Below are 17,335 nucleotides of genomic sequence, written 5' to 3'. Positions count from 1 at the left end.
TAACATGAGGGACTCTTCCCACTGAACTTCTGAAGCAACTGCATGTTCCAAAAGTTTATCTTATATACTGTTTATTTTATACACTATCAGTATATACTGTGTTGTTTATCTTATATACTGTCATATCCCCAATACTTGGCACATGCTCATTTCATGTGTACTGATTAAATGAAAGTATCAGCCTCATAGTAAACAGAGGCCTATTAACAAACAGGTGCCCCTCCACCACCCCAGGTAATAATTACTCTTACCTCCTGCACAGGCCACAGCCTTGGAGCCACTCACACTCATGAACAGCAACACACACTCAGCACCCCTTGAAGGAAAAGAAAAACAAATTTCCACATACTGCATCACACCTGGCTATGCAGGTATTTCCTAGTCAGATGAGGAACCAGGACAAAATTGCCAGCTTACGGCTTGTTTCAGTACTTCTAGGACCACCACAAAGACACACATAGATACATACACATCTATGTGTATGTAGAGAAAGACCCATTTACAAATACAAACGTACAAATACACATATGCATATCAAAATCACTTCAGAATTAGGCACGATACAAATCATAAATAAATTTGTATACACAGTAACCTACAAGCTGGTTTTGCCCTAGCATACTCACAAATGTACACAAACACATACGCAAAGATAATACTTACCTCAAGGTTTGACTGTGAAAAGTAAATGAGATTATGTGAATTCACAGTAATTTCTGACACATAGAAACCATGCTAATAAAGGTTAGCTCTTGATTACATATATAAAAATACATATATTATACATTATATTTAAATTTGTATCCAACTCATATTAATATACACCTTCAAAACAAAATTTCCTTTTCAGTCACTATGCAGAATATCATGGAAATTCTAGACTGTGGGAGCCAATAACAGAACCGGTAGTGTGGGGTATGCTATTGTAGTACAGGGGGAGGGGAGGGGAAATCCTACTGGTAAGAGGCTAGTAAACAAGACTTTTCAGATCCTTTCTGCTTGGGAGAAGGCCTAGCCTTGGAGGGAGCTGAGCTGATGAGTATTCTTGGGAGATCAGCCAAAGGAGTTTCTAACGTTATTGGGTAAGGAGGAGGGGTTGTCCTCTCTCAGTAGCCTTGGGCGAGAGAGTCCCCAGAGTCCCAATGAGTTCAAATCAGCCAGAAAATCCTTTAAAGTATTTATCCTATAGTCCCACAGCTTGGGGAAAATCTGATTAACTCCATCTCACCAGATGGGCTTTACAGTGAAATGTATAGCTGGTTTCTAAGATTCAAATAAGGTGGGAAAACAGAGGAAGAAATAACGAAATGTGAGTCATAACACATCCCTGTGTGTACAACTTGGCTCTGCCATCAATTTGGAGCAAGCCACAGCTCTGTGAGGCTCAGTTTCCCCAGCATATAAAAGGCGAATAAAACTGTCTCCTGTCCAGTTGGAAGAAGGTGCTTTTATTCCCTCTCAAAAGGGTGCCAGCCACAACACCTCCCACTCAACGCTGGAAACTGCTCAAAGAATTTCTCTCGTATTTCCCTGCTGCGGTGACCCTGGAGGGGGTCTTTATCCACCAGACTTCTTTTTGGATATTCCTCCTTTCTTTCTAGGGCCAAATATTATAACTTCAGAGCTCTTTTAAAAAAAATCAGGGATCTGGTTCAACTCTTCCCTTTTAAAAGGATAAATTGAGCCCAGAGCACGTCTTAACAAGGAACCATGTGTTTTACTCACATACAACTGCATTCTTTAAAAATCAAGGCAACCTTTTGAGAGACCTAGAGAGATTAATTCCATATCCTCTCTCACCCCACCGCTTACACGGAAAGAAGCTTGGGGGTAGGAAGGGGATTGCGCAGATCTCGTCCAGCACTCTAAGCGTTAAATTCAACCCGGAGTCTAACAGGCTATTGGCCGAATACCGGGAGAAGATCTGGTTTTCGTAGCCGCGGGCCAATGAACACCTCGAGTGGGAGGGTTTGAAGATACTAAGGAGTTTTCCCCCTTTTTTTTTCCCCCTCAACCCCCTCCCATCGGCTATCACCCCTCCCATCCCCCACGCCTCCAGTTTGTTAAATTAATGCAGTAAGAAAGTCTGAAGATCTGAAGGAGTCTTGACCAAGGGAAGATGAGCGAGCTCAGAAAACCGAGATGCATCTGAGACATTGGGCTTCAGAGCCCCGCGGGGTAGCCAGGGACCCCGGTAGCCCCTGAAACTTGCCCTGGGCTCTCTGACGCCTGCGGCCCCGAGCAATGGGACACCTTTTCTGCAGTGATCACAACTTATTCGGCGGGGACCGGGAAACAGGAATAGCAAGGCGACAGCAGACCCGCACAGAGGCAGGAGAACGAGATTCCGAGACTGGATTGCGATGCGCCAGCCTGGCACACTCTCCGAGATTTAACTGAAGGCAGCGCCGTCAACCGCTTTCCCCTCGCCCCTAACCCCCTCAGGCCGGCCCAGAGCCATAAAGCTCTGTTCTCTTTACCCAAGATGCTCGCCCAATCCAACGGTCCGAGGCCAGCGCTCTGATCTCCACAGAAGATTTTTTTCCTTGCAGGGAGCTGGCCGTTTAAACAGAAAAACAGGGGTTTAAAAAAAAAAAAAAAAAAAAGGAAATATACCCACCCCCAAACGTGCCTCCCCAGCGCCGCAGGGAGCCAACAGACACGCTGGAGTTTAACAAACAGCAATACTCTTCGCGCTCCTGAAAAGCAGGTCTGGACGCTCTCCGTGGTGCTGAAACGCCTCGCAGCCGCCGCTGTCCGTGGTATCTACGACCCCCTCGCTCCAATTTCCCCTGGGGCTCTCCCTCCGCGCCCCTGTTCCCCGCCTCCCTTTAACATCTGGATTATTTTTTGCAATAGCGCTTTCTGGTTTTGTAAGTGCCAATTTGAAACATTTTTGCCCCCATAACTCGTGGACTACAAAGCACAAGGACCTGAAAAATGTACAGCTTCAATACTCTTCGACTCTACCTTTGGGAGACCATTGTATTCTTCAGGTATGCAATTTTCTACTGACCACATCGCTCTGATGGAAATGGGGGGAAAGAGTACGGAGGCTACCTCTGTCCGTGGTCCCATCATTTTGGGGAAGAGGGGTGCTGTATTCCACTGCAATCGGGTCCTTCCATCCCCCGTCTCCCTTCTCCCCCCTCCCACCCCCCGCCACCCACCCCACCCCCGCCCGCAGGGTGTCTGGCTTGTGCGTGGAGGTCTGAGACAGTCGCTGTTCTGGCAGCTGTTTGCCTGTTTCTTACGGTTTGTTTGTCCTTCTGTCTGCTACACCCCCCACTATTGGTCCCCAGCCCCACTGCATGTTGGCTTTCACTCGGCTGAGGACTTTAAAGGGAAGCTTTAGGAGTTACTCAGTTTAATTAGGACTGCATTCTCCCTAACCGCAGTGCCGAAAACCTCAGCTTTCCCGTCTGGGAGCCAAGTGACAACTAGCGGTGACGGGGAAGGTTGCACTCAAACTCGCTGGACACAGATCATTTCATTTTCTGTCCTTTTTTGCTGTTGTTTTCTTTTTCTGCGAAGAGGGAGGGGGATTACTAAGGCTGAGTGCTTGGAAACAATAGTATTATAACCTCAGTGTGTAAAGCCCTGAACTTGGGTGCAGAGTGGATCTATTTAGGAACATACTGGGAAACATTTCCCTTTTGAAACTTTGACTGCCTCTTTCCCCAACCCACCTTTCCAAACTCTGTTAGCTGCAGATCCTGAACTCATGAGCAATCTTCATTTGCTTTGTTTTTAAATTTATGCTTATATTTGACTCAACAGCTGAGTTATCCCATCCACTGTCTCTCAGGTTAAAATTTTCTGCCTGAAGACTTGTCTTTCTTATGTTAGTAGAAGTGAAAAGTGAAAAATCACCTCTTTAAGAAGCATTGAAATAGATAGTCCTTTAGTAAGTGTGTGAATCATACCATCTTCAGAGATGGCTATGATAAATTCCACTTATATGAATTGAAAAACATTATTCTTCTTCCATGACATGCAGGGATCATTAATCTTCCTCATTTTAGATGCCTGCCTCTCATATTTTACTGTGGCATTGGATTAACAGTCATTTGAAAAACCCACCCCAAATTGTTTTTAAAAATAAGTGGTCACCAAATATTACCCTCTCCCAACATAAAACAGCAAATAATTTTTGTTTTATTACAGTTCATAGGAATTGCTGATTTGACTAATCTGTTGGCTGGTTTATTAAATGACACCTCCCCTCAAATAGTAAGTTTCTGTATTTCAGTCTCTTTTCATGTCTCTTGAGATGAAGAAAAGGCATCCCCCCTTATCTGAGATACCCAATGCTAAAGCTTCTAATCTCCTGTTCAAACAATTATTTTGTAGGCCACAGAGTCCTGACCACAGATCAGACTGCAAATAGTCAGAGAGTCAGATAGAATGAAAAAGTACAACAATCCAGGGCCTTATGAAACGTATCAAAATGTGGCTACTTTATGGGGGAAAGGGCAGGAAGTATTCTATTTATAATATGAGATCCTTTATCCCCTGCATATTTAATAGAACTACAAATGTATGGAGGTTGGGTACTTTGTAACATTTGTATGCAAATTGATTCTCTGCTTGGTCTACAGGAGACAGAACTGAACCAGAGAGATTTAAGAGCAAATTAATAGAACCAAGCACATCTTTCTCCCCACACACACTCTCTCTTTTTTTCTTGATGAGCAGTATGCAATGCTTGATTTTCCTCTCCAGACATTGTCTTTCACAAAAGGGAGACTCAGTCTAAAAGGTCTGGATTGTAGTCATTTTGATAAGGTTATGAATCCACTGTGTTAATTCTTCAACTAAGCTGGTGGTGGCCTAACAGAAAACATCATTCTACATCTCTTTCCCCTACGTGCGTGAACGCACACATGAGCTACAATGGATGTGGGATATAATTCTACGTGTTTATAAGGAAAGAAGAGTTATAACTGTGGAGAGCTGGAAATGTGGGTGGCACCACTGCACTTTCAAAATATAGGAACGGCTACTTCATTAGGGGAGTAAATGTTGATTTTTGAAACACAATACAGACAATAATTGAACTCAGGAAATTCAGCAATTTTTCAGAGAGATTAAAAAAAGGTCACAAGGAAGCAAAGTGAGCAGATTGTATTTGTTCAATTGGTATTTTCATTTCTAAGTCACTCACTTTTAAAATTCCAGGTGAAAATACAGAAGCATTATAATGTGAGGACTTATTAGAATGTATTTGGGGGTAGATGGAGGCTGGCAGGTCTCTAGCAGGTTCCATGTGAATAAACCCTTCTTCCCCAGGGGATGGGTGCTGTGTTGGAATGGCCAATCCAATCATCTCAGTCACCCAGGTACTCCTTAGAATAAATGATGCCAGCTGCTCACCTTGTTGGGGAAATCGGGGGCTAGGAAAGGCTCTCAATAACAGACATGCTGCATCAGCACATAACCAGCGAAATGGCAATAACAACAGCAAAACAAACAAACAAAAACAAAAATCGAGTGAATGAGGCGGAAATCCCATATGGTACCAACACAGAGGAGGAACTGGGTCTTAGAAAGGGAAACATGGGGTCCTGGAAGACAAAAAGCATTGCATGCTCATCAACTGTGTCTTCATAAGTAAGATCGGGTGATTTGGCTAAAGTTCCTGATTTGATATTTTAAAAACCTATGGTTCTAAAATTCAGTAAGTGGCATTCTGAGAGTCAATAACCTAAATGTTTTCCCTTATTTTCATTTGAGAATGGGGCCCTGTAGCCAGACTGGTCAAAAATAATAGGCAAATTTTTTTAATGGTAGAAGCACGTTTCTTTCAAATGTCCTCTCAAGCCGAAGTGAACTTGGCTTTGATCCCCAGAGCCCTTACAGAGGCTTATGGCTGGGTCAGGCCCAGTATGACCCCAAAATTCTCTTGCCTTCTGAGCAACTCAAACAGACACATGTTTCTCCAGCTCTGCGCTGTTGACACTTTTAACTGGATAATTCTTTGTTATGGAAGTTGTCCTGGGCATTGTGGGATGTTTAGCCGCATCCCTGGTGCTAGTAGCACTACCTCCCTGAGTCATGACCATCAAAAAATGTCTCCAGACCTTGCCAAATATACATCCTGGGCAAAGGGGAGACAAAATTGTCCAAGGTTTCAAACCACAGTACAGAATGACCAAATTTTTAATCAGCTGCTCCAATGTAGTAATTATAACGAGGAGGAAAGTCTAGCTTCCTTGAGAAAATGCCCCTCATGAAATATATAAAGCACCCTGATAAAACAAAAATGGACCTAGCATGTGCTTGAGAAGGGAATAAAGGCAGGGAGATAAACCAGATCTAATCCCTGGGTGGTTTTCCCAAAAGATGATCAGCTTTTCTTTAATGTGCTACTTCCCTCTTCCATCCCAGTAGATGCTTCCTTGCACTGGATTTTGTACTGAATATGCCACTCAACTGCTAACAAAGGTCATCAAAACCTTGAAGGGAAGATGTTTCTATCCACATTAGGATCAAAAGGAAAATGACAAATACATTGTTTCATATCTCAGTCCTAAAGAAAAAACCTACCCAGTTGAAAGGTGAATGGGCTTTTCCTTGAGGTGGCCCCTGTGGCTTCTCCATCTCCAGGCTTGTCAAGAAGGGCAGATGACTGTCTTGATTTTTCCCTTCTTGAAGGAGAGCTGTACTCCACCTTGAATCTTACCTGCTGCATTTTGGCACTGCAGAACGTGCCTAGGAGTTTCTGACATGGCCCAAGGACTTTTCTCCAAGGAATGAAGTTCCTTGGGCAAGTTTGTATTAGCATCAAATTAAGTATTTGATTAATTAAGAATACTTAATATTAAGTACCTTATATTAAGTATTCTTACTGTAAATAACAAAAAGAGAGTCTACTCCCTTTTTGGGCTTAGGAACCTTAAAAAAGAGAAAAGAAAATGTTACGATTTGGCTCCTGAAGGACGGGTTGGACAGGGACCCTAGGCTGGTAAATAGAGTTATGAATCAGCACATGACTTCTGCATATTTGCCAAACTGGTAATGACTTAAGCAGAGGATATTTAGGAAATTGTTTTCTTTAGATTGTCTTATGAAAGAGGTTACGGCCATGTGGTGCAGCGGGAAGAGAAGTTGGGCTATAATTTGAGAACTCCTGCCTCTAGAGTCAGCTCTGCTTCCATCCCATAGCATGGGCATAACAAGTCTCTTCCTCTAATGGGGACTCAATTTTCTTACCAATCAACTCAAATGACTGAATCTGACACTTCTACATTCTCTCCAACCCCTAATAAGATCTTCATCAAAGGCAGGGGCCCATACCCACAAAGGTTCAGGATGAATTGACCAGTGGTGATGCTGCCTTCATTTCTTCACCAGGAACTTGTTTATCATGTGCTTATGTGTCCAGTCTAAAACTAAACACTCTGCAGGCACAGATGCCAGAGTCCCTGTCATTGCAGAAAGGGGAGACACTGCTCCCTTTAAAGGTACATTAAAATCCTTTTTTCCTTCTTCAGAGGACCCACAGAGCTCCCCTCCAGGCAGCCTGTTCGCGCGTCCTGCGACAGCATCACATTTATGTGGGCGTCATTAACTTTATTTCCTTCATCAGCTGGCAGAAGCCAGCATGATTTTTAAGATGGATGGCACAGTCTCCCTGCCTGGCCATCTTGAAACTATTCTGCAGGTTCGCATTAAACAAAGAGGCTTTGGCCTAAAGGGAAGGAGACCTAGGATCCAGAATTTAGCTAGTGGCATGACCTTGAGAGGGTTCTATGACCTTTCTGGCTCTCAGTTTCCTCAGCTGTAAAATGAAGAGATTTGGCCAATCACGTTCTAAAATCACTTTTAGCTGTGCCAGTTTAGGATATCTTCTCCAGATCTCTTCCAATGATAGCACAGCTTTGGTTACAGCTATTGAAGTGTATTTCAATTATTATAAGAAATAGCCACATCGAGGTATAGTCAGGCTCAAAGGTCTGAAAGAACTGAGGACCTCACTAAGCAATTCACCTTTTGGAGAGTTATCCCGACCCAGACATGATTATTGACAGATCCTATACATATGTCAGTTTCTGTGGGAAATGTTTATTATGATGAGAAAACATGATGCCTGACCACTATACTCACAGATCTGAAAAACGGTGTGAGAAAGAGAGACCAAACATTTCTGTACTTTTTATCAATGATTCTGTTTGGCTCTTTTTTCCCTCATAAAGCCTATGTTTTTGTTTTTTGTTTTTTCAAAAAAAATTGTTTACCAGATACCATTCATCATTAACATATTTTTCCCATCTTTATTAATCAAAGGCACAAGTAACCGCCAGAAATACTAAATACCATGGGATAAGCAATGTCACCACATTGAGTTGACCTAAGAAAAAACAAAAGTAAAGATATGTGATTCTTTTTAGTTAATCCAGAGAGTCTTGTCAGAAGTAAATATGCAATTTGTTAGAGCCTTTGAAATGTTTAAAATGCACTCTGAGTCCTCATTACTATTTCATGAATCTCCTATGTACCCAGGGACCCCATATTGGGAAACATTAGATTTGATTTATTCTATATAGCTCCAAGAGAAGAATCAGAGTAAATTCATAGATTCATAGATTTTTTTTAATGCACTCTTACAAATTTGGACTCAATATAAGTCAGAACTTTCTGGTAGCTCTTTCAAATGATACTGTGGGCTGCCTCAGTGGTAGTGATGGTGTCTGTCAGTGGAAGTGTGCAAGCAGAGACTGGACGTCCACCTCCCAGGAAAGACATAGAAGGAATTCAAGCTTCTTTTGCAAATTGAGATTTGTAATTTGTTGCAGAAGAGTGAATGAAATGCAAGTCAGAGACAATCCCTCGCAATTCTATATTCCCTCCTTTTCTGATTTCCAAATTGCTATCCAATCTTTGTAAGCTCTTCAAATCATGACATGAATACCCACTAACTGGGATCTTTTTCTTCTTAAAAATGGATTGGATAACTAATAAATTGGACAATGAACATACAAACACCATGCAACAAAGAATTATTAAAAGGAAATCACCTTGGTTATGCAAAAGCCTCGTTTTAAGAAATGAGAAGGGCCTCAGAATGAGCCAGAAAAAAACTACCAGAAAATGCACTTGTCCACGGACAAGGCCACAGGCACCGGATGGTGTTCACAGGACTGACGGCCTCTCAGCCTTGAACTCCAGCTGTCTCCCTGAACCAACTCCCTGTAAAGCCTAACACACAAAATGAAAACACTATACAGCCAGCCAGCAAATTCATTCAGAAAGCACATTAGAAGGGAACAATGCCCAGAGATGCTGGGGAGAGGGGCTTATCCACACAGTGCCTATGCTTTGTAATGCAAGCTCTTATGAGGGGTACTGAGGCCCCAAAGCTTTTGAAACTCCTTACAAAGGATCCCTTTGTGATTTTCTAAAGTTGGTATTGTCCAAGTCTCCTGAGGCTAATTCAATGCAATTAGATTACCACTCTCTGCCTTTGAATTGGGCTGTTTTTCAGTGTCCGTTGCTCTAAATTAGTTTACCATCTTAACAGGGAGCTGCCGACAATCATTAATCCCAGCCATGAAATGGGCAGCAGCCCTGAGCAGCATGCTCTCTTGCCTCATATTCTGGGCAACCCACAGGCACATGGAGAACAAGCCTCTGCTCCCTTTCTCACAAGTACATTCCCAACTCTTCCACCTGTTCACCCCCAGAGAATTGCACTTTCCTTCAGAGTGTCTTGAGTATCAACAGAATCATGGAATCTTGCGGTAGGAAGGACTCTTAGCTCTAGAATTCAATGGCTGTCAAAGTTAGCTGTGAGGGGCTTGTCAAAAAGACAGATTCCCAAACATTTGTTAAGAGGACAGATCTTATATTAAGTATTCTTACTGCAAATAACAACAATAATAATAACAAATATATAAAAGAGCAAGAGGAAACTTTTGGGGGTGATTGATAGTTTATGGCATAGATTATGGTGATGGTTTCATGAGTATATACTTGTCTCTAAACTCATCAAGTCCTAAATATGTACAGCTTTTGTATGTCAATCACACCTCAATAAAGTGGTTTTAAAAATTAAATAAAATGAAATACAGATTATCAAAATCATATCAAACTACTGAAACAGAATCTCTCAGAATGGGGACCCAGAAACCCATAATGTCAACAAGAGTCTTTAAATCAGTGCTTTTCAAACTTCAGTGTCCAGGATCACCTGAGGATCTGCTAAGATGCAGATTCTGACTCAGGAGGTCTGGGGTAGGCCTGAGCATCTGCATTTCCAAAGCGCACCCAGAAGATTGATGCTGTTGCTTCCTTGGACCAAAGGTTTGCACAGCAAGGCTCTAGATCATTCTGACTGAGAACGCCTGACATACATCAACCCTTTTATTTTGCAGATGTAGAGGGGATAAATAACTACCTCAAGTTTATAGAGTGGGTGACAGAGCTCTCAAAGCCATAGATAATCCCCAAACTTACTCCACTACATATCGTCTCTAGAGTCCATACACCCTAACTTTGCCACCGCACTTTCTTTCCTTCAATCCTCCCACACTCTGTCCTTTCTCATAAACACAAACACACTCACCCTTCCAGAGGGTTCTTCAGGGAGCTATCCCTATCCCCAAACTGGTGGCCTGGTCTCTGAAGTCCTGGTGCACCAAAAGCTCTCATTCACACAGCTGGGAACTCTATGTGACACTAGATAAAGAGAAGGGGCACCCGGGCAATGAGTTTTAAATCCTGGCCCTGGGACACAGCAATGAGAGTCTGTCAGGATTGATAAAGGAGGTGAATCAAGATGGTCAGAAGGAGAGGGTATGTGGTTTCTTTCTCCAAAGATAATCTCACTTAACAGTCTTCCTGTGTACGTTGTACTCTCAACTTTGCATAGCTAGAGGCTTGCTTAGGCCTCCCAGATGTTCAGAGACCACTGCCACATTCTACCACCTGTCTGACCTCAGGACCATGATCTTCCTTTTTCTCCATCCCTTTAACCTGTCAGCCTTTCTGCAAATCATGTCAGTATTTTACACACCAGAGTAACTACTATGATCTTCAGCCTTCTGAGAGCTGCGTGTTTATTGCTGTGTGCTCAGTTCTGCAACATTCGCCAGCTCCAGAGGAATGCGGCAAGGCTGCTGCAACCCTGGCTGCCAGGCAGATTTGCAGTACTGTCTTATAAAAAGTACTTCACAGGTTATAGCATGTTTTATATCCATGATCTCATATAAGCTGCCCAATCACCTTAAAAATTAGATATAGGACAATGGTTAGTATCCCCATTTTAGAGCTGAGAAAACTGAGGCTTAAAGAAAAAAAGGTGATTTGCCTTTTGGTAACAGCAGGTAACCATGCTGTTATTCTCAGAGTAAAACCAGGATTCAAATACAGATCTCCTTGCTCCTCCCTCACCATACTGATACATAGAGATAGACAGATAGATAGAGATATATTTATGCAGCCACTTTGAGCTGGTACAGCTTTCAGTCTAATAACCCTCCCCCTCTACCAATGGATAAAAGGGGTGGAAAGAAGCCTAGAAAAAAAGAGCTGGAAATTTTTCATTGGCCTTTGGTTTGACAGAGCCTTGTTCTTCCTACTCTTGGCCAGATAGGCATTTATTTCTCTGTCCTTGATCACGTTTAACTGCACAATGTCTGCATACATTACCTCTTTAAGGAATTATAATACTACACCAAAGCCTGAGATCCCCTTTGATAATGACCTCTAGGTCCCTTTCAACTGTTATCCTTTTTGATAATTTTTTATTCATATATATATATATATATATGTATTACATATACATTACATACACACATGTATATAACCATTGAAATATACAATCATTTCATGGAATCATATTTTCTATGTAATTTACTATTTGTTTTGTTCACATATTAACATGTCTTGGGAAGCCTTACCTGTTGAAGCATACAGTTCTACTTCATTCTTTTAACCACTGCAGAGCATTTTATGTTATGGATGTCCCATTGTTTTCTAGCCATCCCCTATTGATGAACACTTATACTTTTTCTAATTTTCCCACTGCAATCAGTGCTGCAATAATTACAGTGTACCTACAACTTTATGAAAACATGTGGTATTTCTCCAAGTAGATAATAAGAACTAGGAATGAAACTGCTGGGGTACAGAAAAAATGCATCTTATATGTTGATAGATAACTGCAAACAGATATTCCTTTCTTCCTGAGCCTTCTCTTCTGCCTTCCCTCAGGATGCCCCATCTCAGCCCCAACTGCAACAACTCATTAAAAATAATCATTAGCATTTATTGAGTGTTTACTGAATGCTAGATACTATGCTAACAACATCATATACCCTACCTCATAATTCTCAAAAAAAATACTATTATGTTCTATTATAAAAGTACTATCCTATCCCCATTTTACAGGAGACAAGACTGATACATAAAGAGGTTATGTAACTTGCCAAAGGTAAGACAACTAGTAAAAGGCAGAGCTAGGATTGAAAATTGGGTGTGACTATAGAAAACACTCCTTTCACCATTACCCTGCCACTATTACTCTAAGAATGAACCAGGGAGGAGGAAGGAGGAGACTAGACTGGATGAGAGAGACGAAAGATATGAATTTGCCTCTCTAGAAAATCAAGAGCTAATCTCTTGCAGGTGGTTCTGGATAGTTAAAAAGTTATTAACATGCATCTGTAAGTAGATACGAGCTCTCAATCTCTATCCTTGACGTACAAGAGAAATTGCACTAGCTCCCACCCCCATTATAAAGTGTGTGGTTAGAGCTCTGACAAGGGGTAGAGATGGTCAGCCACTGAACGTCCTTTCTCCTTTGTCCCACCTGCCTTTTGACCAAGATCATTTCATTGAGAAAGCTAGCTAGGAATGTGGGGGAGAATTTCTGACTGAATCAGGAGGTCAAGAAGAAGGGCAGCATAGTCTCTGGCCCAAGAAGAGAATTTTTAAAAGTCTTGGTCCCTTATACTCAGACCAAAGACATTTTTAGCTGTGTTCTCTAACCCCCAGACACACAGGAGTATACCCAGTCTCCCTTATCTTCTGTATGTGCCCCACCTCAAGCACTAAAGGTCTCACCGCATGCCCCAGATTTACCACTCCCAAAGCAGACCTTCAAAGCAGGTTTCTCTTAACATCTCTAAGCCAGAAAACCACATCCAGCCCAGACAAGGCAAGGGGAGCAGAAAGGGCCAGCCCTCCATAATAGCCGTCAGCATCACCCCTGACATGGCCTGTGGGAAACTCAGGCAATGCTGTCTCAGACATCTGTTTTCAATAGCTCTCTGAGTGACACCAGAGACACTTTCCAATGTGTCCCTACAAGCCCTATTGCTATTAGAGAAAAAGAATACAATAGAAATAAAGTCTCCTAATATCAACTCTTAAAATAGACCTGCTGGTTTGTCATTTTGTTTTCCTTTATTTTGTTTTTTACACTACAAATACATATTTGTTGTAAAATATTAAACAGCATAGGGAGATATGTTTGAAACTAAAATACATGTAAATCTTACTTCCTAGGATAAATCACTTAACGGTTTGATATTATCCTCCTAAATGGTTTTAATAACATAATAATAACAAAAACATGAGTGCTTCCTTCGTGCCTGACACCTTTCTAAGAGCTGGATAGAACTTAACCCATGTAACCTTCAGAACAATCCTATAAATCATATACTATTATTCATTTCATTGTACAGATGAGGTTAAATCATTTTCCTAGGATCACCCAGCTTGGAAGTGTCAGTGTGGGATTGGAATCCAGGAAGTGTGGCTTCAGAGAGCCTTTAGCTGCTGTGCTACTGTAGTAAGCTGCTTCTGTTTTACAAAAATGGGATTATTCTAAACACCATGTTTGGCAACTTCTCTTTTATCACTCAGGAATATCTTGTCAGTGTGCATATGGATCTACCTCATGCATTTTTGCAGTTGTGCTGCCCTTCTCTTGAAAATGCCAGGTTTTAACATAATACGAAACTCTCAGCTTGCCGCACACAGCCCCCACTGCTATTTACAACTCCTTTACTTCACACAAACTGAATTCCAACCCAAAATGGATTTCTCATTGTCCATAAGCAGTACATCCATAAGTCTCACCTCTGTATTGTAACTCATGTTGTGCCCTATACTCTCCATAAATCTGGAAAACTTCCCCCTCACTCTGGTGTAAAAGACACACCAACCAGCTCTAGGTTCAAACTCATCTGATTTTGAATCCTGCCTATGTTACTTCCTTGCTGTATGGTCTTGGCAGTTTGCTCAATCTTTCTGAGCCTCAAGTTCCTCATCTTAAAAACTGAGAATAACAACTTCACTGATAGATACACGAAGTCCCACTTCAAACACATTTTCCTATCAGAGCACAATCCCTTAACAAACGGTAATTTCCTCTCCTTCTCTCTGAGATGCTATCCATGCCTTAAGACCCATCTCTAGCATCATTTCCTCCATGAATTGTCCCTGGATTGCCTCTATACCTAGCCCCAGCTGGGCACGGACTCTTCTTCCTAAATCCTCTTGGAAATATAGGCATTATCCTTAGCACTCAGTTTGTTTAAAGGGACCTTACATACATTTGGGTGTCCCTCTAGCTTTCCTGTTGGATTGTAAGCCCCTCAAAGATTAGAGCTTAATGAATTTCTTGATGCATGTGAAAAGCAAACAGGAAGAAAAGAGAAACATCTCCTGGTGCTTTTCAGAGTTTTCAGCTTACTCCACTACCCCCTCATAGATAATGTCATCCCAGGGGTTCATGTATATCAAACACTCAGTGTTTGTTAAATCAAATTGCTTTGTCCCCAAATGCCTGCTCCCATCCTCCTTCTATTGGCTCTGCAGAAGCCCAGGACCTGAAAGATTCCAAACAACCAACCCTAAAGCACTGCTGTATCTCACCATGACCACTTTCTGCTCCAAGAAATGAGTCACAGTGAGAATGTGAGCTAGATATGGCAGCGCAGCCCTGGCTCCGTAGCTGTTGCAGTGAGTTGCTCGCTCAACCTTTCCCTTGCTCTCTGACAGGGCATGTCCAAACTCTGGGCCTCTCAAAACATCTGAGCCATTGCAGATAAGGTTGCTCTTCACCATCACCAAGTCCTGCAGAGAAGCCCCTTCCATAAGACAAGGAAAACTTTCTAAAATAATTTTAAATATGAAGAAAGTATGGACTTACCTCAGTTAAAGGTAGTTTCCTCAATGTGACCTAAAACATCTAGTAGAAAAAAAAAAAAAAAAAACAGTCTTCACAGGAGCCAAATAAGAGACTGCATCATGCCCAGAGAGAGGGTGCTTGAATAAATGTATTGAATATGGCTTGGACTGTAAAAAGCTATGCCTACTGAAAAAAGGAGGTGATACGGCCCAGAAAAAAATGTAATGCTCCATGCTGCCCAAAATTGGACAGCCTAGATATTAGAGCAAGATTTTCCTTCCCCTGCAAATTCTGCTCTAACTTTGTAACTAGTCTCAGCTTTTCCATGCCTAAAATGAGACAGAACTATGTAAAGACTACAGGTCATTCCAGCTGTCATTGCCTAATTCTTAAATTAAGTTGGCATATTGAAGGCCCAGCAGTTAAAAACTCTAGCTTGGGGCCGGGCGCGGTGGCTCACGCCTGTAATTCCAGCACTTTGGGAGGCCAAGGCAGGCAGATCACGAGGTCAGGAGATCGAGACCATCCTGGCTAACACGGTGAAACCTCGTCTCTACTAAAAACACAAAAAAAAATTAGCCAGGTGCGGTGGCGGGCACCTGTAGTCCCAGCTACTCGGGAGGCTGAGGCAGGAGAATGGCGTGAACCCGGGAGGTGGAGCTTGCATTGAGCAGAGGTAGTGCCACTGCACTCCGGCCTGGGCAAAAGAGTGAGACTCCATCTCAAAAAAAAAAAAAAAAAAAAAAACTCTAGCTTGGGAATCAATCATACATATTCCGAAATCCTAGTTATACTACTTGCTATGTGTATGCCTTGGAGCAAGATTATTTTTAAAATTGCTAAGCCTCGATTTTCCTCATCTGTTAAATGGGAATTATAATTATCCCTTCCTGACAGATTATCATAAGTATTAAAAGGGAGAGGGCATATAGTTGGCATTGCATATGGCAAGCAACAAGTGTAAAAAGCAGGAAAACCACTATTACTATAATTAAAGTAGGATAGGTGCAAAGTGTTGTGGGAGCATACAAAAGAGCCTGATTAACTCTGTCTGGAGGTGGGAGATGGTATAAATTGAAGACATTTCACATGACTCAGGATAATTAAACTGGGCCATAAAGAATGACTAATTTACCAGGTAGGCAAAGAGTATCAGGAGAGTGAGGCAAACAAAGGAAAAAGGCTTGCAGAACAGTCAAGCTGAATGATGTTGAGCTCAAGGCCACTGGGTAGGCCAGGCATCCACCCTGTTATGTTGGCTCAGCCCAGTCCTGCTCTGCCCTATTCTCTCCCAATGGGCTTTCTATCAATTAGAAGCCTGGCTGAGAGAGAATAATTTGTTCATTATCCAAAAAATATTTATTAATTCCTACGATAACCAGGAGTTGTTCTAAGTTCTGGGGATAGATACATTGAGGAACAGAGTCATGGTCCCTGCTCTAACACACCTTAACTTCTAGTGGGGGGTACAAACAACTAAACAAATAGAGAAACTATAGAATTGCAGGACCTAGTAAGTGCTATAAACCCAATAAAGCAAGAGAGGGTAACACATAACAGTCTACTATCAACTCCACCCTCAAGGTGCCTACACTTTCATACATCTCCATTATCTCCCTTAAGCCTTATATTATAGGAGATGGGCAGGTTGGAGAGGACTGTTTCTTGTTATAGTTGAGGAAACTGAAACCCTGAGGGGAAAAATGATTCATCCAAAGTCACACAGCCAGTTAGTATCATGGGCAGGCAACCTCATTCCATGCAGAAAAGTCAAAAATGGCCAGGATGAATGATTACGAGGAGTGGAGAGAGAAGGGAAGGCAAATAGCAAAACAGTCTGTACAGTAGGATCCCATTTTTATTTTTTTATATGTATTAATGTTCTCTTATGGGGAAAAATTCTACAAAAATGGACTGAAAACTGTTTATAGTTGTTATTGTCTCTTGAGAATGAGACCATGGGGAACTTTTATTTCCTGCATTAAATATTCCTGTAATACTTGAATGTTTTACAACAATATATATTACTTTTGAAAAGCTGGAAAATATATTTTTTAATAAAAGAGGATGCCAGAGAGTATGGGCATTCAACCAAACTTAGAGCCCACCTTAATAAAAGGCAACCTGTACCAGGTAGGAAAGAAAGACATTTGGAGTCACCCAAACCAGTGCCGTCTTGATTGTTTTCTCTAA

The 17,335-nt window shown here is 41.8% G+C and overlaps 1 protein-coding gene across 4 annotated transcripts in view, besides 2 other annotated features; it reads left to right on the top strand.

The window, feature by feature from the left end:
* Positions 2,147–2,359: a silencer, noted in NCBI's record as "fragment chr5:151304692-151304904 (GRCh37/hg19 assembly coordinates)". NCBI's record gives its function as "represses an EF-1alpha promoter that drives an FKBP-Casp9 reporter gene in an ReSE screen in K562 erythroleukemia cells {active_cell/tissue: K562}" and the evidence as "EXISTENCE:reporter gene assay evidence [ECO:0000049][PMID:32094911]".
* The window catches only part of GLRA1 (glycine receptor alpha 1), a 102,339-nt gene continuing 87,642 nt past the window's right edge, over positions 2,639–17,335 (top strand). For 3 of the 4 annotated variants that reach the window (NM_001292000.2, NM_000171.4, NM_001146040.2), the window contains exon 1: positions 2,639–2,996. Coding sequence is in view for 3 of the 4 variants with exons in the window: in NM_000171.4 (NP_000162.2) it covers positions 2,941–2,996 (56 nt within the window). In the remaining variant the exon portion in view is untranslated. Of the gene's footprint in view, positions 2,997–17,221; positions 17,276–17,335 lie in introns of those variants that run through there. The other variant, XM_047417105.1, reaches the window with a different exon arrangement.
* Positions 9,054–9,774: an enhancer, noted in NCBI's record as "OCT4-NANOG hESC enhancer chr5:151297277-151297997 (GRCh37/hg19 assembly coordinates)". NCBI's record gives its function as "activates a minimal SCP1, AML or CMV promoter by ChIP-STARR-seq in naive H9 embryonic stem cells {active_cell/tissue: H9 hESC(naive)}" and the evidence as "EXISTENCE:reporter gene assay evidence [ECO:0000049][PMID:30033119]".

This window comes from Homo sapiens, chromosome 5, assembly GCF_000001405.40.
Source record: "Homo sapiens chromosome 5, GRCh38.p14 Primary Assembly".
In the NCBI taxonomy this organism is placed as follows: Eukaryota; Metazoa; Chordata; class Mammalia; order Primates; family Hominidae; genus Homo; species Homo sapiens.
This window is presented reverse-complemented; position numbering and strand designations above follow the sequence as displayed.